The sequence below is a fragment of the Homo sapiens genome, chromosome 4 (assembly GCF_000001405.40).
Source record: "Homo sapiens chromosome 4, GRCh38.p14 Primary Assembly".
Lineage (NCBI taxonomy): Eukaryota > Metazoa > Chordata > Mammalia > Primates > Hominidae > Homo > Homo sapiens.
Window position 1 is genome coordinate 54716503 of NC_000004.12, and position 25321 is coordinate 54741823.

The 25321-nt window shown below is 39.0% G+C and overlaps 1 protein-coding gene across 8 annotated transcripts in view; it reads left to right on the top strand.

The window, feature by feature from the left end:
- KIT (KIT proto-oncogene, receptor tyrosine kinase) overlaps positions 1-24213 on the top strand; it is an 82759-nt gene extending 58546 nt beyond the window's left edge. For 2 of the 8 annotated variants that reach the window (NM_001385284.1, NM_000222.3), the window contains exons 8-21: positions 7082-7196; positions 9355-9548; positions 10716-10822; positions 10914-11040; positions 11321-11425; positions 11509-11619; positions 12833-12983; positions 14826-14917; positions 15369-15496; positions 16568-16690; positions 19996-20107; positions 20219-20318; positions 20673-20778; positions 21927-24213. In NM_001385284.1, the coding sequence (NP_001372213.1) occupies positions 7082-7196; positions 9355-9548; positions 10716-10822; positions 10914-11040; positions 11321-11425; positions 11509-11619; positions 12833-12983; positions 14826-14917; positions 15369-15496; positions 16568-16690; positions 19996-20107; positions 20219-20318; positions 20673-20778; positions 21927-22055 (1700 nt within the window). In that variant the 3' untranslated portion in view covers positions 22056-24213. The remainder of the gene's footprint in view (positions 1-7081; positions 7197-9354; positions 9549-10715; positions 10823-10913; positions 11041-11320; positions 11426-11508; positions 11620-12832; positions 12984-14825; positions 14918-15368; positions 15497-16567; positions 16691-19995; positions 20108-20218; positions 20319-20672; positions 20779-21926) is intronic. The other 6 variants (NM_001385290.1, NM_001385285.1, NM_001385288.1 and 3 more) reach the window with 3 other exon arrangements.

The window sequence follows — 25321 nt, forward strand, 5'->3', positions numbered from 1 at the left end:
CCTCCAGACCATTAATTTTTTTTTAAATAAAAATGAAGTCATATTGCTTTATAACCTGGATTTTTGGTGCTGCACAACAAAAGCATTGTGAATATCTTTCTATAACATCATTTTGGCATCTCAGTGTATGGATCTTTTATAATTTCTCTAGCCCATGCCTGATGCAATTTTGAGACATCCAGGAGCGAGGCGGGACTCTGAAATGATGTGACTGAATTTTAAAAGAAACCTGTCAGATGATTATTTAAAGTTTATAATTATCGTGTTTAATGTCTAATGAGTGACCTTGCTTAAGTGGCTGGAAGTTAATAAGGTTATCATCTGTTGTTATCTTTCATGCTCTGTGTCTTCAACATACGATATGGCAGATATACTGTGCTGGCTTTCAGGACAGTTCTAAATTAAGGAATAATTTTCAGATCTTCTTAGTGTGGTAGCTAATCTATGTAAAAATCGTTGCTTGTCTTTTCACATTAATCTTTTTATAGATAATATGTGTTCATTTGAGATATCTGACAGTGTTTGAACTCTGTTTGTATTTTCTGTTCCTGAACTTGAAATGAGTTTTTGTTCTCAAATTGCTTGGGAATTATGAATGTTGTTTTTGATGTGACACTCTAATATCTCTTTCTCCTTATAAAGAGAATGTCTGTGGAGGCAAGAATTGTTATAGATGTTTAAATTGGAAAAAAAAAGATATAATGGCAACCTACTTTTAAAGTAGAACTTGATTCTCTTCTGTTCTGAAAAAATTTAGCAGATGTAGCTCTGAACTAAGCTAAACATCTTTCCCTCCTCAAAGGCTGGCATCATTACTCTTCCTCCCTATCTCATAAGAAAGTTGGTCTGGTGGATGTGTTGCTAATTTAGGGGCCTTGATGTAAACACTGAACCTGTAAGAGAACCAGGTAAACTCTCTGGATCCATAGCCCTTGGTTGCCCCCGTTTGTGTGGTTTGGCCATTTTTTTATGTTGATGGTGGAAAAGCAGGAGAAACAGGTTTAGGTATGTAGCCATGTAAACTTCTGCTGGAATTGACTCTAAACTTGGGTACATAGACTTCGCTAAAAGCAGTGAGTGGTCCCTTTTATATTGTGGAACTTCCACTCTGTGGAGATTTTCTTTTCAGTTGAGCCACTTGTTTTTACATCAAATTAGCTTCCTTCATTTACAGATATATGCAAGGTCACCTGTAATGTAGTGAAATTTAAATTAATCCAAGAATAGGGACATAATGTTTCCATGGGCATTCTGTCAATACCCTTCTCCTCCACTTCTGAATTATGTTGCAAAATGAATTAGCTACTTTTCCAGAGTAGGAAAAAAGAGGCTTTTGTCCCATGCCTGCACTCCTTGGCAGCAAGCAGAGTGGCATTGTGATGTGTGTACAGGTCTTCCTCCCCACGGCTGGGTGATACAGCAATGGTGCTCCTGTAAGTTGAGCAGTGATTCTGGCTGAAGAAGTCTCTCTCCAAGTAGTTTCATCATTTTTCAACGTAATCTCGTGATTGGGATATCTTTTTGATTGCTGTTTAGAACAGGGGTTGGTAGAACTATAGCCTGCTGGCCAGAATTGGCCTGTAGCCTGTTTTTGTTTTGTTTTGTTTTTTGCTTTTGAGACAGAGTCTTGTTCCGTCGCCTAAGCTGTAGTGCAGTGGCACAATCTTGGCTCACTGCAACCTCCACTTCCCAGGTTCAAGCAGTTCTCCTGCCTCAGCCTCCCGAGTAGCTGGTATTACAGGCACCTGCCACCATGCCTGGCTTATTTTTGTATTTTTAGTAGAGATGGGATTTCACCATGTTGGCCAGGCTGGTCTTTCTCCTGCCTTGGCCTCCCAAAGTGCTGGGATTACAAGCGTGAGCCACTGCACCCGGCCTATAACCTGTTTTTGAATGGCTCACAAACTAAGAACGTTATTGAATTTATTTCTGATTAGTTTTAAAAAATCAGGAGATTTCATGAGACATGAGAATACAACTCAAATGTTAGTGTCCACAAGGAAAGTTTTATTGAAAACAGCCATGCCTATTTGATTATATAATGTCTATGGGCACATTTGTACTACAGCTGCAGAGTTGAGTTGCAGGAAAGACCTTATGGCCCACAAATCTAAAATATTTACCTGAAATATGTATCTCGCCCTTTATAGTAAAAGTTTGCTGAGCCCTAGTTGAGAAAATCACTTCATTAAGAGAATGATTTTTTTTCTTTTTAAAATGACAGTCACTGTTAAAATAAATAGGTACAGGAGATTATAGTTGAAGTTTTATTTTGTTTGTTAAATAAACTTCTGTTAGTGTCCATATGCCAATTTCTGGATATCTTTAAGAATGTATAAGACACAGTATATGTCCAAAATATCTATCCTGGGAATTTTTTAAAAAGTATAATATTCCTTTTATAAGTAAGGTTATTTTTCTACTCCAATTTTAGCTGACTTAAATTTCTTTATTATAATGGTATTATGGCACAAGTGTAGGTTTTACACAGACCAAAACCGGGATAGTGAAAAATTCCGGAAAAGCATTGCTTCATTGCCTTTAAACACCAGCAAACCTCGAATTTTAAAAACAGAAATTCATTCTTATGATCCCTCTTCATTTAGTCTTTTATTATTTGGAGACTTAAGTGTTTGCGTTTTTTGTCCTGCTGATTATAAAATATGGGCAAATGTGCATTTATAGCGGAAGTTGGTTAAAGTGGCTGGGTGAGAGAACTCTAATCAAAAAATGCCTCCCTGCATTTAGATGAAGAAAGGAAGACCCCTTCTACCATTGGCTTGTGTATTGCCTTTCAGCCACCAGCCCTCAGCTTTGTTATCTGTACTATGTTCTTAAAATTCATTTTGTTCTTGCTTTCCACATGGACTGGATGGTGATGAAAAGGAATATTTTCCAAGATCACAAATCTGTGGGGTAAATCACTGGATGTGTAGGATTTTTAATTGCATGAGCAATAAATTCTCAGCAGAGTTACAAGCATCTGAAATCTGCCTACAAGCTGATCGGTGTTGTTGGCGATATCAGAATGACTCAGGTCCATGATGTTTTTAAAGGCAAAAAGGCTATTTTTTTTTATCTCCACAGGAAATGCATAACTTATACACCTCTTAGGCTTATCTAAACCTCCAACTTGGGAGGAATTAGAGAATGTGTCATTTGCTATACTGCTTATTGCAGAATATCTAAGAAGCCACAGCTCAGATTTAACCTGGAGAACTGCAGAGTTATGTATCTTTAAAGGCAAGATGTATATTTAATGCCAAACACGGTGCATTGAGGCACTTATAAAATGCAGATGAGCCCAGATTTTCATTTTTAGGAATTAGATTTCCACCTGGCTCATTCTTTATGCATTAAACATTTTCATAATGCAACTTGCCAGGTACAGCTCATGCTGTACTAGTGTGTCTCATCCTTTTCAGAAGGAGGTCTCTTAGCACCAGTGTTAGGGAAAGGGCTGGACCGAGGTGAGGCAAGAAAGGCACCTAGAGTGTGAAATATAAGGAGGTGCTCTCACAGATACCCACTCATAGGCCCTTTAGGGTTAGTGCCTTCTTATTTTTATGCCCTGGGTGCTTCTCTTGCCTTACTCTTGTCCTGGCTTTGATAAGGGTTCCTTAAAGGCCCTTTAAAAAGGTACATTGCTGGGTTATACCCTCAGCTTACTAGATCTCTGGAGGTGCGGCCCAGGAATGTGCATTTATTCTCTTCCCTTAGAGAGTCTAAGGCATATTGAAGATTTAGGACCCTGTCAGCTTGGTTGGCCAACCTAAGGCCAGCAGGACAAAAGCTGCTCAATTAGCCTCAGGTTATGACCCACCTGGGATAGAAACTTAACAAAACTGCTTAATTAACCGGCACATGGGAACAAGTAGGCCAGCCAGACCACACCGTTGCCAGCCATGGCTGTTGTATAACTGCTACCAGGTGTCACGCTAGAAGGCTTGGATGTTAGAGCATACTTGTAACCAAAGCTAAATGGAATTGATTATGTAATTTTGAGCTGTTCCAATTTTTTAATTAAACAATGTTTTATAGGTTCACTTTCAGCTACCCATTCATTGCAAAATAAAATTAGAAATAAAAGAATAAAATAGAAACTTTTCATCACCTTACTACCCAGAGATAACCATTGTTAACATCATCTTAAAGTGTTCTTTCAGCCTTTCCTCCGCCTATTAAGTTAATATTTAATTTCACTAAGAATTTACCATGTAGTGTTATGAGCATTAGGAAGTATGAGTATTAAGGGAATATAGGTATGAGTACATCTATGTTGTGAACTTAGCTCCTATTTGAGTCCTATTCAGTTATCTCTACCATCTTTGTGTAGACTGGTCCCACTCATCATTCATCTCAGTGTTATAAAAAATTCATGTTGTCAGGCGCTTGGATTTCTTATCTCATGGCCCTCCATTGCAAAAATAATAGAAATAGTGCCGTATTTACGAAAGTCACCATTAGGCTGTTCCCACAGGTCTCTTCTTGTGACTCTATAATTGAATGCCTTTGGAATCTTAGAGACTTGTTCCTTTGGGTGGGATCTTCATCATACAACAGTGCTTACTGTGTGCCTGCTGTGGGTCTCACTGAGCTAGGAGTCACAAGTATACTCAATCAGTAAGATGTCGTTTCTGCCCTCGAGAACATCGAGTCTGATGGAGGAGGCAGACCAAGATCTTGCATACCAGCGTCAGGTGTTCTTAAATGCTTTGGGAATAAGGAAAGGAGAGAGACCAGCTTGGCATCAGAGAGTTTAGGCTTGCTTAGAAAAGGAGGTGACACTTAAACTGAGTCCAGAGAGACCCACAGTATGGCACCTAGAGTCCCTAGCAAATAGCACTCTCCTAAGGGTCTGCTGATTTCTTGTGTCGTGTCCTACTTTTCAGCCTGATCACACAGTTGCCCATGATAATTAAATGAAACTTGCCAGATGGATGCTTTCGCAAGACGATGGCTTGTCTTCTTGCTCTATTTGTAAAGCTGGCATTGGATCCAAACTCTCAAGGATGCCCCTACCTTGAGATTGTTTTGGAGAGTTTCTCTTTTGTGTATATTAGCCAAATGGCCTGCTCATCAGCAGGGCCAGGTTGAGTGACAGGTGGGTGTGTCATGCATGTGGATACTCTGATCTCCGCCAACTCCAGGGAGGTGCCTCCAGGGAGGTGAGGTGCTGAGAGGTTATTCTACAAAGATGTCATTTATCAGTGTTACCTTCCTTTGGGGAAATAAACTTCCTAAGTTTCTGATCTGTCAGTCTTTCCTTCTCACTGCATATATTTTCCCTATCAGTTGCAATATAATTGATGTTGAATTCCCTGCGCATTGGGTTAAAATATACACCTTATCAGACTATTCTAAAGAAGGAATTTTTAGATTATTGAGGAGAATATTTAGAGTGGCAAATACAGTTCACTTCATTTGTAGTGAAATTGGTTATCCAAGAAAGGTAGATATTCTGATTATAAAATAATAACTCAGTATTAATAGTAATAATAAATTTTATTGAGATGGAGTCCCACTCTGTCACCCAGGCTGGAGTGCAGTGGTGCTCACTGCAACCTCTGCCTCCTGGGTTCAAGCCATCCTCCTGCCTCAGCCTACCGAGTAGCTGGGACTACAGGCGCATGTCACTGTGCCCAGCTAATTTTTGTGTTTTTAGTAGAGATGCGGTTTCACTGTGTTGCCCAGGCTAGTCTCAAACTCCTGACCTCAGGTGATCCACTGCCTCAGCCTCAGCCTCCCAAAGTGCTGGGATTATAGGCTTGAGCCACCGTGCCCAGCAATAATAATAATAAATAATTGTTTCATTTCTATAAGTCATTCTTAGCTCTCTGTATGTGCCATCTCATTTAATTGTCTCAATATCCCTATGAGAGGGGCACAGTTATTATTCCCATTTTACACATGAGGGAACAAAAATTTAGAGAGATGTAGAAACTTACTCAAGTTCAAAGAACTGAGAAATGTAAGAGCTGGTATTCAGATGTGTCCACTATGCATGGGGCTCCCGTAATTCTGTGCTTAGACTTGGCACAATCAATGCTATTCTTCAGAGTACAGGGTGAGCATATCAGCATCCCTGCCATCCTGTTGCTTCTGTTGAGCTTATTTATTCTTAGAGGGTTGGAATCCTTCAGATGTATTGCCATCAGAACCACCGAGTATAAGTGCATCTTCCTTTCACTTTGTAAATAACTTCAAAAATTAGAAATTCTTGAGTGTTAGCTGGTTATTGTAGTTACATAGAAATACCAAATTAGAGCATTTCTGCTGTTACAGTGAATATATTCAGATTTATATATATATTTATATATATATATGTATTTATATATATTTATATATATTTTTATATATATGTATATATATTTATATATATGTATTTATATATATATATTCACGTTCATAATATACATAAATATATAAATCTTAGGCTGGTTTTCTTTTCTAGTTTTCTGTTCATATTTTGCATTTGAAACAAAGATTTGAAGTAAAGCCCATATTGTATTTTACTCTTTATGTTCTAGCTTCCCTGTAAATAGAGTGATTCGGCTTTTAATCGGCACCACCCTTCCACCCCCAAAAAGGAGAAAATTCATGTAAGAGCAAAAGAGTGGGGCTTATCTTTTCCTCTAACAACTCCTAATTTCATCCATTCCAGTTCCCACAATAACTTGAAATTCCTAGGGCAGGTACAGTTGCTTGAAATCCCATTGGCAGGAATCCTTTAAAGTAGATTTTTACCTGTGGAACACTTTGGAGTCCTAGAGTTTGATTAGAAGCAGTCTTCAGATCCCTACTCCCTGAAAGCAGAAACCCTGCAGTTGGCCCTGCCACCTCTGCCTCAGCCATCTCCTCTGGGGCTGGGCCACTGTGGCTGGGAAAGCCTTTCTGGGTTGGACCCTGACAGCCGCCTCCTTGTACCTTCCACTCCTTGGTTCAGATTCTGCCCTTTGAACTTGCTCCCTCAGGCTACTCAGCAGCCTCAGGAAGGTTGTAGGGATTAGAGAGGGAGTGAAGTGAATGTTGCTGAGGTTTTCCAGCACTCTGACATATGGCCATTTCTGTTTTCCTGTAGCAAAACCAGAAATCCTGACTTACGACAGGCTCGTGAATGGCATGCTCCAATGTGTGGCAGCAGGATTCCCAGAGCCCACAATAGATTGGTATTTTTGTCCAGGAACTGAGCAGAGGTGAGATGATTATTTTTGGCACTGCTTATAATGCAGAGGGGAAGGACTGCAATTCACTTGAATTTCAAATATGTTTTCTGATTTTTTTTAAAAAAGCTTTGTTTTGATTATTGTTTTTTTTCTAGCCATGTGGCTTTTTAGAAGGGATAATTGCTATATTTTTCTTGGTAGACATTAATTTTGTTTGCTGAAAAATCATTACTGAATGACTTCTCTATTTTGGTGTTATCTTTCTGGATTTATCATGCAATTTCTAGCCTGCAGGTAGATAAAGCAATTTTGCAGGACAGAGTAATTAGATTTCCATTCTATACACAGGAGGTAATGTGTGTGGGAAATGTGACTGTAGTTATCATGAAAAAATTACCTCAGTAGTTAATTGCCAAGTTACCAAAAAGTAATGATCGCACAATTACAACATACATATGGCATTTGCAAGCGACCGCTTTTAAAAAGGGTTTCTTCTTGATAATGTGCCCAGCCCCTGAACAGAGAACATCTGGCACTGTGCTGCTTGCCCCTCACCATCCACACTTAAGCCTTAAATTGCCCTTTTGCATTACCTGAAGACGAAAATGGGGTCACCACAGCTGTTTTTATCCATCAATTGCTATTTTATGCTCAGGCTTTAAAAGCCCAGGTTAACATCACAATTGAATAGTTAGTATGGTCGCAGAAATTTTATTTTTCATGGAATAAGCCTCTTTATCACAACAAGTTGGAAGGGGTTACATCGGATTGCTGTTTTCAGCTGGGGTTTAGGAGAGTGTTTTCTTTTGGGGAATACTAAGTAGGGTTCAAGGCCCCTGGGAGGAATGGCCACAGCAGAAGCAAGCCCTGTAGTTACAGGCATTCATTCAGTAGATACACAGGGAGTGGCAAGTGTGTACCAGACACTATTCTAATGGACAGAACACACCCAAGTCTTTTTGCCTTTATGAGTTTATGTTCTAGTGCAGGGGTGTTCAGTCTTTTAGCTTCCCTGGGCTACACTGGAAGAAGACGACTGTCTTAGGCCACACATAAAATATAGTAACACTAACGATAGCTGATGAGCTAAAAAAAAAAAAAATTGCAAAAAAATCTCATAATGTTTTAAGCTTCATGAATTTGTGTTGGGTCGCATTCAAAGCCGTCCTGGGCCACATGTGGGCTGCAGGTTGGATAAGCTTGTTCTAGTGGGTAGAAACACATAATAGATGGAATAAACAATGAATGTATGTAGGTGTTAAGAAAGGAAACAGGGAATAGCTAGGTGTTTAGAATAGGGAAGTCGGGGTCTGGCTCATGAAAAGGATCCCTTGCAGTGGTGGTCTCAGCCACCTGCAGTATAACTAGGCCTTCCTGCTTAGAACTCAAACTTCAGTCCTCACTTTGACTATTTTCTGGTCTACATCCTTGATTTTGTTGTTGTTGTTGTTGTTGAGACCGAGTCTCACTCTCTTGCCCAGGCTGGAGTGCAATGGAGTGATCTTGGCTCACTGCAACCTCTGCCTCCAGGGTTCAAGTGATTCTCCTGCCTCAGCCTCCCGAGTAGCTGGGATTACAGGCGCCTGCCACCACGCCCAGCTAATTTTTGTATTTTTAGTAGAGACGAGGTTTCACCATGTTGGCCAGTCTGGTCTTGAACTCCTGACCTCAGGTGATCTGCCCACCTCGGCCTCCTAAAGTGCTGAGATTACAGGTGTGAGCTACTGCGCCCGGCCCCTTGAAGATTTTTTATGCTTTCCTCCTCTATGCTATTTCTTTTCAACCATTCGTGTACCCTTTTGAAGCTTGTTTATTTTAGGGATCTACTGTGTACCAGCATATATGCCTGCCATTTTATTGAATTCCTTTCCAATCCTTTCAGTAACCCTCTGCAATGGGTATTACTATCCCTGTTTTACAGTCGTAGAAACTCAGTGTTGGTGGGGGTTAAAAACTCATCAGGATTCAAACCCGCATCTGACTCCGAAGCCTCCTCTGCCTTCTCTTCCCCAGTGCTTTTTTCACTCACTAGGTCACCAAAGTGCTTATTCTTAGACACTTGTAAAAGGACATTTTCTGTTGATTATGAACCTCTAACTTTGTTTTAAAAGTATGCCACATCCCAAGTGTTTTATGTATTTATTTATTTTCCTAGAGTAAGCCAGGGCTTTTGTTTTCTTCCCTTTAGATGCTCTGCTTCTGTACTGCCAGTGGATGTGCAGACACTAAACTCATCTGGGCCACCGTTTGGAAAGCTAGTGGTTCAGAGTTCTATAGATTCTAGTGCATTCAAGCACAATGGCACGGTTGAATGTAAGGCTTACAACGATGTGGGCAAGACTTCTGCCTATTTTAACTTTGCATTTAAAGGTAACAACAAAGGTATATTTCTTTTTAATCCAATTTAAGGGGATGTTTAGGCTCTGTCTACCATATCAGTCATGATTTTAAGTTCATTCCAACATTGACCATGTCATTTCTGGTAATACATGCATCACACCATACTGTCATCAAACTCACTAAGTTTCATTTTGTACTAGCTTGTTAAGTATATGCTTTTACCAGAGCAATTTTAACCATGCTACTTTATATATTTTATATGTATGTGTGTCTCTATTAGTTGTATATTTACAATTGTCTCCATTAAAAAGAGCTAGAGAAAGCAAATGGGGGAATATATTTACCTTACACCCAAACAGAATTAGAACAATCTAAAATTTAAATTCAATTAAAAATTTCAGTTATTTAAAATGAATTATTTTAACACTTTGCCAGACACTGTATCCAAAAGTTAACACTGCCTTTATGAAGTCATGTTAGCAAGTTATTTCTTTAAAATATTTAAAATTTGATTCATGTGTGACTAACTCTCTTAACAAGTTAAAAGATCTTTTGGGCAAACTGATGAATTGGTACAAAGTGGGAAGACAAAGAAACTGGGCACTTACTTTTTAGGCCTTCTTGGGGTTTTGTTTGTTTGTTTGTTGTTTTCGTTTTTTGAGTCGGCAAAGACTAGTGCCAAAAAGTGGCGTGTTTTCTCAGGTTTTGAGTAGTGAGGGGAAGAATCTTCCATGTTTTTCAGACAGGGCAACGAAAAGAATACCTTAAAAATGTTTTTTTTTTTTTTGGTTGTGAAAGACATTCATGCTCAGTGTAGAAAATTTGGAAAATACAGGAAAGCTTAAAGAAGAAAATATAAACCGTCCATAAAGGAAGCTTCTTTTTTTTAAAGTTGTACAAGGCAGGAATTTGATTGAAGTATAAAGTGCATTCAGATGTTGCTTTTCATTGAAAAACAGCATAAATTATTCCTTTTCTACAGAAATCTCAACTTCTATTCTGCAGTATTGTGGTTTCAAGTTATATTTTTAAAGATTCATTTGAATAACAAGAGTACAATGTAACCAAGGTGAAGCTCTGAGACTCACATAGCTTTGCATCCTGCCATGGGCTGTGAGTTGGGAGGTGGGGTCAGTTTGGGACTGAGTGGCTGTGGTAGAGATCCCATCCTGCCAAAGTTTGTGATTCCACATTTCTCTTCCATTGTAGAGCAAATCCATCCCCACACCCTGTTCACTCCTTTGCTGATTGGTTTCGTAATCGTAGCTGGCATGATGTGCATTATTGTGATGATTCTGACCTACAAATATTTACAGGTAACCATTTATTTGTTCTCTCTCCAGAGTGCTCTAATGACTGAGACAATAATTATTAAAAGGTGATCTATTTTTCCCTTTCTCCCCACAGAAACCCATGTATGAAGTACAGTGGAAGGTTGTTGAGGAGATAAATGGAAACAATTATGTTTACATAGACCCAACACAACTTCCTTATGATCACAAATGGGAGTTTCCCAGAAACAGGCTGAGTTTTGGTCAGTATGAAACAGGGGCTTTCCATGTCACCTTTTTGGGTACACATAACAGTGACTTTAAGGAACTCCAGTGGCTTCCTTTGTTTTGTTCCACCTGAAACAATGAGTTTTCTGTGAAATTGCGCCCCTTTTGATAGGTTTGCCATAGAGAACATCGTAGGAAAATGTCTCTGGACAACATTGTTTTTAATTCCTTTATTGATTTTGAAACTGCACAAATGGTCCTTCAATTCCACCACCAGCACCATCACCACTTACCTTGTTGTCTTCCTTCCTACAGGGAAAACCCTGGGTGCTGGAGCTTTCGGGAAGGTTGTTGAGGCAACTGCTTATGGCTTAATTAAGTCAGATGCGGCCATGACTGTCGCTGTAAAGATGCTCAAGCGTAAGTTCCTGTATGGTACTGCATGCGCTTGACATCAGTTTGCCAGTTGTGCTTTTTGCTAAAATGCATGTTTCCAATTTTAGCGAGTGCCCATTTGACAGAACGGGAAGCCCTCATGTCTGAACTCAAAGTCCTGAGTTACCTTGGTAATCACATGAATATTGTGAATCTACTTGGAGCCTGCACCATTGGAGGTAAAGCCGTGTCCAAGCTGCCTTTTATTGTCTGTCAGGTTATCAAAACATGACATTTTAATATGATTTTGGCAATGCTAGATTATAAACTGCTTGGAAGATTTTTTTACCCAGACTGTTGTTCTCTCTTGCTAGATTTTGTTTTCCTCATTGTTCTTAAGAATGCAGATTTTAATTTTATCATTATGGGGTAGAACAGCCCAGGACATACCCTAGTTATTGTCGTATTTGTAACATCAACGACATCAGCCTCTTGAATATCTCATCCCGACCAGAAGGCTTCTGTTATCTTGTAAGCTTTATACATTTCTTGATCATATGTAGCCACTGAAAGGGTTAATATTAATTTGCATACTACAATTTAAAACAGGCGCCTAAGCCTACTGGTTCTCAAATATACACCAAATGAGGCAAACATTTCACTTCTCTAAAAATAAGTTTCCAATTTGAAGCCTTAGTTGAAGTTCCCATCAAGGATGTCTGTGATGTTTGCAGAAAGTATTTCAGTTGAAAGAAACAAAGATGTGTAAAATGAGCTGTTTCTGGAGATCCACGATAAAGTTGACAGCCTTATATCATGTCTTCCAATAATCCCCATAAATGTTGCTTCACCACATCATGAATTGTTCATGAGAAAATTTCTTACCCAAGTTAATTAGTTGCCTGTTACTTCTAAACTACAGTTTAAACATTCATAGCACCAAAAAATTTTTCAACTAGTAGCGCTCAGAACACAGGTCATTTTAGGTTTTCACTCACTTTCCAGTCTTGTCCCAGCTGGCTGCTCCTTGTGGCTGATTTTCCCACTATGCCACAGTTTGTGCCTTCATTATTTCCATAATAACGTTACAGAGAGTGTGTGAAGCCCTGCTGTAAACAGAAGTGAACCAGAGGATTCACGTAGGAAGCTTGATAATAGTAGAATCTTTGAAAGCAGTAACTTCTCTCTGTAAAACCAGCAGTCATGCTTGGCTCCAAATACTAATGTCACTTAGAAATTCAGGTTAAAAGAGGCTTGCTTGTTTTATGTTACTCCACATAAGGCTGCTTTTTTGATAAGCAGTGTTAATATATGGGATTGTATTGGGACTAAGTAGTCTGATCCACTGAAGCTGAATATTAATGGCCATGACCACCCTTGGGTATTTTTATGGGAGGCAGAATTAATCTATATATCTCACCTTCTTTCTAACCTTTTCTTATGTGCTTTTAGGGCCCACCCTGGTCATTACAGAATATTGTTGCTATGGTGATCTTTTGAATTTTTTGAGAAGAAAACGTGATTCATTTATTTGTTCAAAGCAGGAAGATCATGCAGAAGCTGCACTTTATAAGAATCTTCTGCATTCAAAGGAGTCTTCCTGGTAAGACTGATTTACATAAATAGTTAGCTGTTGACAGGCAGTTCATGGGGTCATAAGGGTTTGCAATCAAGGCTGATTCTTTAAAAAATGAACTGAGGTACTCTGAGGTATGAAATCAAAATTATTAAATCATTTAAATGTGATTAACAGTTTAGAAAGTTAAATTGTGTTTTTAAAGATTCAAACCTAGATTTTTGCTGATTTTTTAAAAATGTATTTTCAGTTTTCTTCTACACTTTAGTTCCATGCAACTGAATGCATTCTATATCTGTTTCTCTTACGGTTCTGTCCTGCATGTATTTCCATTTATACTATTGAGCTTGGTACTACATGCATGTTTCCAGTGAGATACTGTTTATAGGGAAAATGCTAAAGCCTCTCAAGTTGCCACAGTAAAGTCCCTTTAAAACCTTTAGCAGAATGACAAAGAGCTCTGAACATATCTCCACATGTAGGCTTCTTGCCATCGACCTCTGGATTATTCCTGTATACCTTGCCTCTTGCCCTTTTTATTTCATCATGCTATTAAAAGACATAACTACTCCAGCACATTTTTTAAAAATTCTGGACATTATTCTCATCTCTTTCATCATTGATGCCATTCTGAATTTGAATCATGTATAAAGAGCTTTGAGTTTGACTTACAACCAGAAAAGAATTCTTCTCATATCTTGCCTATTCTTTCTTTGGAAATGCTCTTAAGGGCCACCATTTGAGAAGACTTCCTAGATGTACCCAGTCCAACAGAAGTCATGGTTATTTTGCCCAGTCCCCTATACTGTATATTGCTGCAGTTGTGTGGTAGATTTCTCCTATCCTTTTCATGCACTTTATATCCACTGCATCTTGCAATGGCAAGACATTGCCTCCTGAACTCTTAACACCAGGTCCTCAAGGAGACCTCAGTAAATATTATTGATGGGCAATTACCCCTTAAAGCCATTTTCTGTACCTCTGGCTAAAGTTTAAAACCCCAGGTGAAACTTTTTATTTTTTTTTAATCCTATAAACTTGAGTAGTTTAAAGTGGTAGTAGAAACTGTACAAAACCACTTTTTGTTAGTTTCTCCTGGGCATGTGCTCATTATATGAAGAAATGAGCCATTTTGCTTCTTTCCGAAACCTTGGCCCTATATATATCCTTTAACTTTCTGATATAATGGCCTAAATTGTTCAATCCTGTGTGATGTTCTTTGTGCTTTGGGATCCCATATGGGATTGGAACCACCAGCACACTCTGAAGGAGATTGTTGTCATGGTGTTTCTATGCTAATCAGAAGCAGGAAGTACTAGAAATCTTGAAGAGTCTCCAGCCAAATGTTGCAGATTGAAGAGGTCCAGATGGTTCAGAAAATCATCCAAATTATTGGTGTTTATCTGAACCAACTTGATTTTTTTTTAAACCTTCCTCCATCAGTCACTATATGTTAACGATCTCTGCCTCCTGCATAACACGTCTTGGAAGCTCTTCTTTGTCTTTCTTTCATCTTGTCTCCTGGGGCTCATTTAGAGAGTTTGAGGTAATACGGGATACCATATTTGGCTCTCTGTCTCCCATTAAATTCATTGTGTCAAGAGACGGGAAATTTCTAACCTGAGTCCTCTATATGATTATACACAAAAAGGACACCTAGTTTCTGGGCATGGACCCCAATATCGATTATTAAAAACTCATTTCTTACAGAACAGGATTTTCAAACTCTTTATTCAAACTTTACATGACTTTCCTCAAATTGGTCCAGTCTATTATGTAGCAAAGGGGATGAGGAGGTAGAGCATGACCCATGAGTGCCCTTCTACATGTCCCACTTGATTCAGTCATGACTTGTTTCATCTCTCCCAGCAGCGATAGTACTAATGAGTACATGGACATGAAACCTGGAGTTTCTTATGTTGTCCCAACCAAGGCCGACAAAAGGAGATCTGTGAGAATAGGTGAGTACCTACCTATCAAGCAACCAAGAGTAACTTTACAGAGAGTATGTATATCATGCTAATGTGGAATATAACATCATTCCCAGTAGCAATGATGCAGACCAGTTCTGCTTTATGGTAGCAGTGCCAATGGTCAATGGCAGTTAGGGTTGCAAGTGGGTGTTTGGGGTCAGAGCATATGTTTTTGTGCCTGAGTATCTTTCTATAGATATGGGATCTTTGCTTTAATTCGCCATCCCTCTCCTCTATGGATTTTGTAACCCAGCCTAGGATTGTTAAATATTAACTTTGTGATTCAGCATCTACCTTTCCTGGACACCAGGGAAGTGATCTGCCTGCAAGTTCACATTAGTTCATTCATTACCAGCCTTTGGTATGTCATTGCCACTGTCTTTTCCTTTCCTGACCTTTATGGTTGTAATTGCTAAGAAAAATCCTCTCTTCCTCACAGGCTCATACATAGAAAGAGATGTGACTCCCGCCATCATGGAGGATGACGAGTTGGCCCTAGACTTAGAAGACTTGCTGAGCTTTTCTTACCAGGTGGCAAAGGGCATGGCTTTCCTCGCCTCCAAGAATGTAAGTGGGAGTGATTCTCTAAAGAGTTTTGTGTTTTGTTTTTTTGATTTTTTTTTTTTTTTTTTTTTTTTTGAGAACAGAGCATTTTAGAGCCATAGTTAAAATGCAGAATGTCATTTTGAAGTGTGGTAACCAAAAGCAGAGGAAATTTAGTTTCTTCATGTTCCAACTGCTGTCTCTTTGGAATTCCTGTTCTAATTTATAAGCTGTAAAGTACAAGCCTGTCTAAATGAGTTTTTCTATGAATATTCTTTTATATGCAGTGAAATTCTTTTAAAACTTTTGGCTTTTAGGATATAGGATATGTTCCTAGAGAACAGAATCATTTTATCAGTAAAAGCAGAGGGCACCTCATAGTTACAAGGCTTGGGGTGAAGCATAGACTTGAGTTTTATTGAAGTTAGATCCAAATATTATATGTGTGGCTTATGAAGTGTCAGGAAATAAGGGGTCAGAGGGAGTAATAAACACTTGGGAGAAGGTTAGGAATGGAAAGAATGATGGAACCAAAACAAGGAGCATGGTCTGTGGAAGGGTGAAAGGAGTTCCTTAGGAAGTAAGATTAACCGAACAGAATGAGTTACCAGTCCTACCCTTAAATGTCATGGGTGACATTTCCCAACAATTACCAAACTAAGAAAGGATATAAGATGGCTGAAATAAAGACCTTCTTCCGTGTGTCCTTGGGAGATGTCAGATTGAATTTGCAAAGGCATATTAGGAACTCTGTGAAAGGACATTCAAAGAGATGCATGCAAAATGAATTTTCAGTTTAAACAATATGATATGACTATTTCTTATGTATTTCCCTATGAATGAAAGCAGTCCTGAGAAGAAAACAGCATTTATTAGAATTGCTTTTAAAAGAGATTATAATAATTAGACTCTTGATTATGTGAACATCATTCAAGGCGTACTTTTGATTTTTATTTTTGGTGTACTGAATACTTTAAAACAAAAGTATTGGATTTTTTATAATATAAGCAACACTATAGTATTAAAAAGTTAGTTTTCACTCTTTACAAGTTAAAATGAATTTAAATGGTTTTCTTTTCTCCTCCAACCTAATAGTGTATTCACAGAGACTTGGCAGCCAGAAATATCCTCCTTACTCATGGTCGGATCACAAAGATTTGTGATTTTGGTCTAGCCAGAGACATCAAGAATGATTCTAATTATGTGGTTAAAGGAAACGTGAGTACCCATTCTCTGCTTGACAGTCCTGCAAAGGATTTTTAGTTTCAACTTTCGATAAAAATTGTTTCCTGTGATTTTCATAATGTAAATCCTGTCTAGGGATATCACACATTTTAGCAGTCAAATTAAGTATACTTCAGCAAAATTTGCATGGTATGCTGAACATTACTACAACTAACATTCAATAATAGAAGTCCTAATTCTAATTGTGTAATTTTGGGGCATGTGAAGGAAACAGAAATAGCCTTAATTTTCATTATAGCCTGAGAATAGCAATGAACTTGATTTTGCTCAAGTGTAACAAATGTAGGTCATTGAAGGTCACAGCAGGAGAAATTTTGGGGGGATTGGCATGCCGTGTGAAAAATATTAAAATCTAAGATCATATTCAGAGTTAGCCATATAGAATGTTGGATCCTAGAATACACGGAGAGCTATTAAATAGGTTCATAAGTAATAATGGGTTTGTAGAACATAGCAAATGTTTTTCAAAGTGCTGTATTTCCTTGCCAATTTTTATTGAATCCTCAGAACAAACCCTTGTCCTATAATTGCAGCACCTTCCTATTTTAAAAGTTGGAGAAACTAAGGCATGGCATATTTTAGTGCTTTTTATCTGAGGTGACACAGGACAATAGAGGCTGAAACTAGAGCCTGTGATTTCCAGAGTGGCATCCCATCGCCATGGAAAACCATATTGCCCTTTATAATATTCTCTGCCTGTCTTCCTGGGCCCATTTCTGCAGTCCAGATTTATTCCTGGAGGTGGATTTTTGTGCCCCTTATGATAATGTAATGTTTTCCCCCCATCACTGTGGCGTCTCTATTGGTAGCCTGTACTCGATTTGGTTTTGTAAGAGTGTTTCTGTGTTTATCTCCTGGCCAAAGCATGAATTTCTGAAAAGGCTGCCCTGAAGCTAGATATTATCATCAGGAGTGATAATAAAAACAACTTCTCTTCATCCTGGTGCAATTTTGGAAGGAAGAATGATAAGTCGTTAATTATCCAGTCCTCTGAATATTGACCAAAGGGAGGAGGAAGAAGGTGGCCGCCTCCAGGCCCAGTCTTGATGAATTCTGCAATCTGTCTCCATTATTTCATGCCTGTGTAATTTTGTCAAGAGTTGTCCAATACCTCTGAATCTTTGTTTTTCTCCCCTTGGGAATAATAGTGATTCCTGACTCAGAAAGTTATGAGTTAATATATGTAAAGTGCTTATGACAGTGCCAGACATATTGTTACTATTCTTTATAGATGTCTTATTTACGATCTAAATAATCGTGACGGTGGTTACATACTGTCTTGTTATTGGTTAGTGACCTTAGTTTGAAATGACAAAGAGGGGTTGGCTCTATCAGGCTTCCAGATTGTAGACTCCAGTTCAAGTCAGTTGAACTAACCAATCACAGATCTCGCTTTCACCAGGCTAGTGGGTAAGGAGAATTTCTGGAACAAGATAAGAAGAAGGAAACTCATATATGTTACCGCCCCACATTTTTGTCATCATCATTTGAGATCTCCTTGTTGTGTCAGGTTCTCTGAAGTTCTTTCCTTTCACATGAGTTCTTCATTGTTTTTCATGTCATGGCCCCTTTTAGAGCCTGGTAAAGCCTATGGGACCCTTATCAGAACACTGTTTTCAACGCCTATGATGAAATACATAGGAATACCAAGGAAAACAGTTAAATCGAAATAGCTATGAAGATACTAAGTAAATTTGTGATATGTCAGTACATGTGTTTACTATAGAGTGTAACAGGCTCTGTTAGGTTGGTGTAAAAGTAATTGTGGGTTTTGCTATTTTTTCTAAAAACCACTGTAATTTTAGAGTGGTGATTAATGTAAATATGATTTTGAGATACCTATAAAGACTTAATAGGATATGAAGATATTTATGATTACTGTTCATGACAAAGTCACAGGTACAGCTGATACTACTGCGTTTTATCACCTTTGTTAGTAATTTAAAGAAATGCTAAATTTCATCTAGAAATTAGCGAAAATAAGGATGTCATTTTTCCTTTCCAAGTTCACAGGCCCCTGAATTTGACACCCATAGATCTCAGGTTAGGAGCCCTTATAGGAACTTTAGCACAACATCTAGGAAGGGAAGGGATATTGGAAGTTTTTTGTTTTGTTTTTGTAAGCTGACTAAAATAACTTTAACACCAAAAAAAAAAAAGAAAAAAAAAAAAAGCTTTCCCAGTTTTCAATCCTAAATGGATTAAGAGAAGGATTGATTTAGCTTTTTATGGCAGATTAAGATTGGGAATCCAGAATGCATCTAAAAGGACTAGTTACAGAAAGTTTAGCTCAACTTTAATGGAGAGAGTTCTCCAAAGAGTCAGGATCACAAGCCACTACTGTTTATCAAGTACTTGCCTTTCTTCTAGGCAATTTTTCAGATAGCACTGAGTCAGGCGGTGCTAAGCATTTTTACCCATTTTATCTTATTTAACCCACAAGACAATTCATAAAATTAAAAGTATTCATTTTGTTTTACAGAAGAAGATACTGAGGCTTAATTACAAATATTTTAGTGACTTTCCCAGTGTATTAGAGAAAGTTTTGGGTTTTGACAGAAAACCCAAAATAAAAGAAGTCTAGGAGTAGACTTTATACCAGGATTGGTATAAAGGTTCCATGGAGTACCCGGGCAAGTCTTTCCTTTCCATGCTTAGCCATTCCTGAGTGTAACCCCCATGTCCATGGTCCAAGATGACCACCAGGTGGATAGCCAGCCATCATATCCAGAAGGCAGGGGGCCCTTGCACTAGAGAAGAGAGGGCAGAGGGCACGTGCCAGCTATATTGTAAGGAGGTTTTCCTGAAGCTGCTATACAGCACTTACAACTTAGTGGCCAAAACCGAGTCACCTAACTACAGCTAGCTAGCTGCAAAGGAGGCTGGGAAATGTAGTCCTAATTGTGAGAGGCCGTGTTTCTGTTTTTAAGGAAGGAGAGGGACATATTCAGTGGAAACTAACAAATCTCTGCATTACCTAAGGCCCATGGTGGAGCCAGGGCTAAAATGTCTGGCTGTCTCTGACGTTTGTGCTCTTAATCTCCATGCCGTACTGACATAGTGCTCACATCTTAAAATGGGGATAATGCACTTGTGAGCCATGTATTTCAGAGGTGATTGGGATCATCTGAGTTCATATAGGTAAAAGGTTTTTGTGAGATGGTACTCAAGTTATCACTCCACATTTCAGCAACAGCAGCATCTATAAGAATATCTTCTGTTCAATTTTGTTGAGCTTCTGAATTAACATTATTGACTCTGTTGTGCTTCTATTACAGGCTCGACTACCTGTGAAGTGGATGGCACCTGAAAGCATTTTCAACTGTGTATACACGTTTGAAAGTGACGTCTGGTCCTATGGGATTTTTCTTTGGGAGCTGTTCTCTTTAGGTAAAATGATCCTTGCCAAAGACAACTTCATTAGACTCAGAGCATCTTCTTGAAGTTTCATTGGTGTCCTGCTTCCTTGTGATTAACACTGCTTTGCAAACTGTGTCTCAGGAAGCAGCCCCTATCCTGGAATGCCGGTCGATTCTAAGTTCTACAAGATGATCAAGGAAGGCTTCCGGATGCTCAGCCCTGAACACGCACCTGCTGAAATGTAAGAGCCAAAAAATTTTTCCTTTAGGTCACGTTTTCCCTTTTATTTTTCTTTTTAGAGACAGAAACCCAGATGTTGAGGGTTTTCATAACACAGTTTGAAATGTCACTTGGATTCTTTATGACACACTGGTCAAATGTCATTTCTGTAGTTTATTTTCATAATCTCTTGTCACCAAAAATACAGAAAGTTTCAGTAATATTTCATACATGCAGTGTTTTATGTTATCTATATGTCAGTCCATATGTCCAGTTGCATAGCCCTGGAATTATTACTGAAGTTGCTGGATGCCCATACATTTGAAAACAAGCTGAGGGCATTGAGGAGGGATAGTAAATGGCCCTTGTCTTGCAGGTATGACATAATGAAGACTTGCTGGGATGCAGATCCCCTAAAAAGACCAACATTCAAGCAAATTGTTCAGCTAATTGAGAAGCAGATTTCAGAGAGCACCAATCATGTGAGTATACCCTGGCCAGGCATAGAATCCCCCTTCTCCCAGTTCCAGGTGTGTCCTCCTCCTCAGGCTTTCAGGGTGAGGACTAACCTCCCAACCCCTTCTCTCCTAATCTTAGGTTGCAAATTGGGCTTCAGGTAGGGGAAGTAAAGCAATGGAAACTAGTTCTTTCTGCCCAGCCCTCCTGTTCTGAGCCAAAGAAGGATGTGAGATTGAGGGGGAAGGGTGGAGAGTTTTGTACTCACTGGAAGTAGAAGTTTCCATAAGGATTTGCCATGTTTCCTCCCTCATCTCAAATGCTGGTCACGGGGTCAGTATTTTCTCCCTCTCACATGTCAGGGCCATGCATCCTTTGGAGGGTTGGGGTGATGTGAACTAGAATAAAAGCATAGAAAAGACAGCTTGTTACTGCAGTGAAATAAGCCTTCTGATCAAACAAGCATAGCCAGAAAATGGCAGATAGCTGTCATGCCCACAAGCCATATAGAATGAAGAGCTGTTTGAAGTTGGGAGATCCCTCCCAGTGATTTGGGAAGTGTGGGGGAATGAAAACTCAAATCCATTATTTCCTCTCTTTTTAAGCAAGAATTAGTGATACTTTGACTCAGATTTTTTTAAGCTGCTTTCTTTCCTGGGCTGTGTGCTTGGAGCTATCTTTTCTTTCCTAATAGCACACCACTGATAATTTTTGGGTTAAAGCTTGTTCTTCTGGGTGTCAAAACATGTTTCAAATTGAACAGCATTTTCCACCCAGTTGCTTTGATTCTTGACAAGAGACCCCTGGAAGGGCCGTGGGTTTCCCAGCAAATTACATTGGTTATTGGGTTGTAGTTGCTGGAGAGATTTACAAGCCTTTTAAATAGGTAAGATAGTGCTTGGTGCCTGGTGTGCCCTTTTAGAAGAGCTAAGCTTGTGCATGTTTTGTCCCCACTTCTTGTATAAAGTTATTTCCTTGGAAAAATGAAGGGGGAAAACAAAGCTTATATTTGTTTTGTCAGTATGACTTGGGTTTTGGCCACAAAGTTCTTGGAAACCACTTCTCTCTTAAGAGTTTCCATCAGTTAGTTGTGATCTTGACACTGTAAGTATGCCTTTTGTTGCTATGTTCGTTGTAGGGACTGCTGTATTGACTATGGGCTTGTTTTCTCCAGATTTACTCCAACTTAGCAAACTGCAGCCCCAACCGACAGAAGCCCGTGGTAGACCATTCTGTGCGGATCAATTCTGTCGGCAGCACCGCTTCCTCCTCCCAGCCTCTGCTTGTGCACGACGATGTCTGAGCAGAATCAGTGTTTGGGTCACCCCTCCAGGAATGATCTCTTCTTTTGGCTTCCATGATGGTTATTTTCTTTTCTTTCAACTTGCATCCAACTCCAGGATAGTGGGCACCCCACTGCAATCCTGTCTTTCTGAGCACACTTTAGTGGCCGATGATTTTTGTCATCAGCCACCATCCTATTGCAAAGGTTCCAACTGTATATATTCCCAATAGCAACGTAGCTTCTACCATGAACAGAAAACATTCTGATTTGGAAAAAGAGAGGGAGGTATGGACTGGGGGCCAGAGTCCTTTCCAAGGCTTCTCCAATTCTGCCCAAAAATATGGTTGATAGTTTACCTGAATAAATGGTAGTAATCACAGTTGGCCTTCAGAACCATCCATAGTAGTATGATGATACAAGATTAGAAGCTGAAAACCTAAGTCCTTTATGTGGAAAACAGAACATCATTAGAACAAAGGACAGAGTATGAACACCTGGGCTTAAGAAATCTAGTATTTCATGCTGGGAATGAGACATAGGCCATGAAAAAAATGATCCCCAAGTGTGAACAAAAGATGCTCTTCTGTGGACCACTGCATGAGCTTTTATACTACCGACCTGGTTTTTAAATAGAGTTTGCTATTAGAGCATTGAATTGGAGAGAAGGCCTCCCTAGCCAGCACTTGTATATACGCATCTATAAATTGTCCGTGTTCATACATTTGAGGGGAAAACACCATAAGGTTTCGTTTCTGTATACAACCCTGGCATTATGTCCACTGTGTATAGAAGTAGATTAAGAGCCATATAAGTTTGAAGGAAACAGTTAATACCATTTTTTAAGGAAACAATATAACCACAAAGCACAGTTTGAACAAAATCTCCTCTTTTAGCTGATGAACTTATTCTGTAGATTCTGTGGAACAAGCCTATCAGCTTCAGAATGGCATTGTACTCAATGGATTTGATGCTGTTTGACAAAGTTACTGATTCACTGCATGGCTCCCACAGGAGTGGGAAAACACTGCCATCTTAGTTTGGATTCTTATGTAGCAGGAAATAAAGTATAGGTTTAGCCTCCTTCGCAGGCATGTCCTGGACACCGGGCCAGTATCTATATATGTGTATGTACGTTTGTATGTGTGTAGACAAATATTTGGAGGGGTATTTTTGCCCTGAGTCCAAGAGGGTCCTTTAGTACCTGAAAAGTAACTTGGCTTTCATTATTAGTACTGCTCTTGTTTCTTTTCACATAGCTGTCTAGAGTAGCTTACCAGAAGCTTCCATAGTGGTGCAGAGGAAGTGGAAGGCATCAGTCCCTATGTATTTGCAGTTCACCTGCACTTAAGGCACTCTGTTATTTAGACTCATCTTACTGTACCTGTTCCTTAGACCTTCCATAATGCTACTGTCTCACTGAAACATTTAAATTTTACCCTTTAGACTGTAGCCTGGATATTATTCTTGTAGTTTACCTCTTTAAAAACAAAACAAAACAAAACAAAAAACTCCCCTTCCTCACTGCCCAATATAAAAGGCAAATGTGTACATGGCAGAGTTTGTGTGTTGTCTTGAAAGATTCAGGTATGTTGCCTTTATGGTTTCCCCCTTCTACATTTCTTAGACTACATTTAGAGAACTGTGGCCGTTATCTGGAAGTAACCATTTGCACTGGAGTTCTATGCTCTCGCACCTTTCCAAAGTTAACAGATTTTGGGGTTGTGTTGTCACCCAAGAGATTGTTGTTTGCCATACTTTGTCTGAAAAATTCCTTTGTGTTTCTATTGACTTCAATGATAGTAAGAAAAGTGGTTGTTAGTTATAGATGTCTAGGTACTTCAGGGGCACTTCATTGAGAGTTTTGTCTTGGATATTCTTGAAAGTTTATATTTTTATAATTTTTTCTTACATCAGATGTTTCTTTGCAGTGGCTTAATGTTTGAAATTATTTTGTGGCTTTTTTTGTAAATATTGAAATGTAGCAATAATGTCTTTTGAATATTCCCAAGCCCATGAGTCCTTGAAAATATTTTTTATATATACAGTAACTTTATGTGTAAATACATAAGCGGCGTAAGTTTAAAGGATGTTGGTGTTCCACGTGTTTTATTCCTGTATGTTGTCCAATTGTTGACAGTTCTGAAGAATTCTAATAAAATGTACATATATAAATCAAGTGGAGTCATTTGATTGTTGAGATTCGTTGAGATTAAACTTTAAAGCATTAAAGTGCAATCATCCTGACAAAGTTTTGTACGCAGTTTTCATAAAATATGTGCAGGGCTATCAGATCACGCTAGGATTTACATGCTTCGAGATTCAACAGATATTAAGAATTTTCATACGTGTGATATTTTCTCATTTTAGTCTTACAACCTGAGGTCTCTATTTAAATTGAAAAATAGATACAGAGAAGGTGCTTAGTATGTATGAGCTGGGTGCTGTCATGTGGGTGAAACATTATGCATGCCCAATTGGTACCGTCCAGACCACTGGAACCCAAACAGAGGCTGAGAGTTCTTCAGCTTGAAACAAAAGGAAGCACCCTGAATCACATAATCTTATTAAGAATGAGGCACCCACACACCCTCAGTCATGACTGTCTTTATTGACGTGACATCTACACCTGCAGAAATGTCTCCTGAAAGGAAAGGGAAGGGGTGAAAAGTGACCTGTAATGAAAAGGAATCCTTTTAAAATCCAGAGGGAATTGTGTGGCAAGGAATGCGTCAATAATCAGTGAAAAACAGACCCACATTTCAGTCAGGCAATTCCCATTATTTTATTGCAGACAGGAATGAATGCTAATTGACCACAAAACAAAGAAGTCTTTTCTTTCCAAATGTTTTCACTGTCATTTAGCCTTTGTCATGTGTGAGAAATTTGCGTTAGAAGCAGTTGACAGTCCCCTGTGTTAAGAGTCTAGCTAATTTTCCTCACCAGCCTAGCTTTTCATTGGAAAGGAATACCAGGTCTTGGTGCCCAGGCTCAAACTTGGTTCGAATCTCAGTGCCACCCCTGTGTCTACCACTTAACCACTGTGTGACATTAGGCAGATTAGCTCTTGAAATCTCAGCTCATGGGAGTAGTGTCTACCTTGATGTATTAATGTGAGGCTGTCAAGACCAGCTCGTTCATATGCCTAATAAGTTTTTCCACGGCCAATTCACCTTATTAAGCAGGGAGGGCGGTGTTCCTGTACTGACATAACCCATGTAAAATTATACAGTCAAAAGCTTGATTCTAATTTTCTTTCTCTTAGGTGCAAACAGTATTGTACAAGT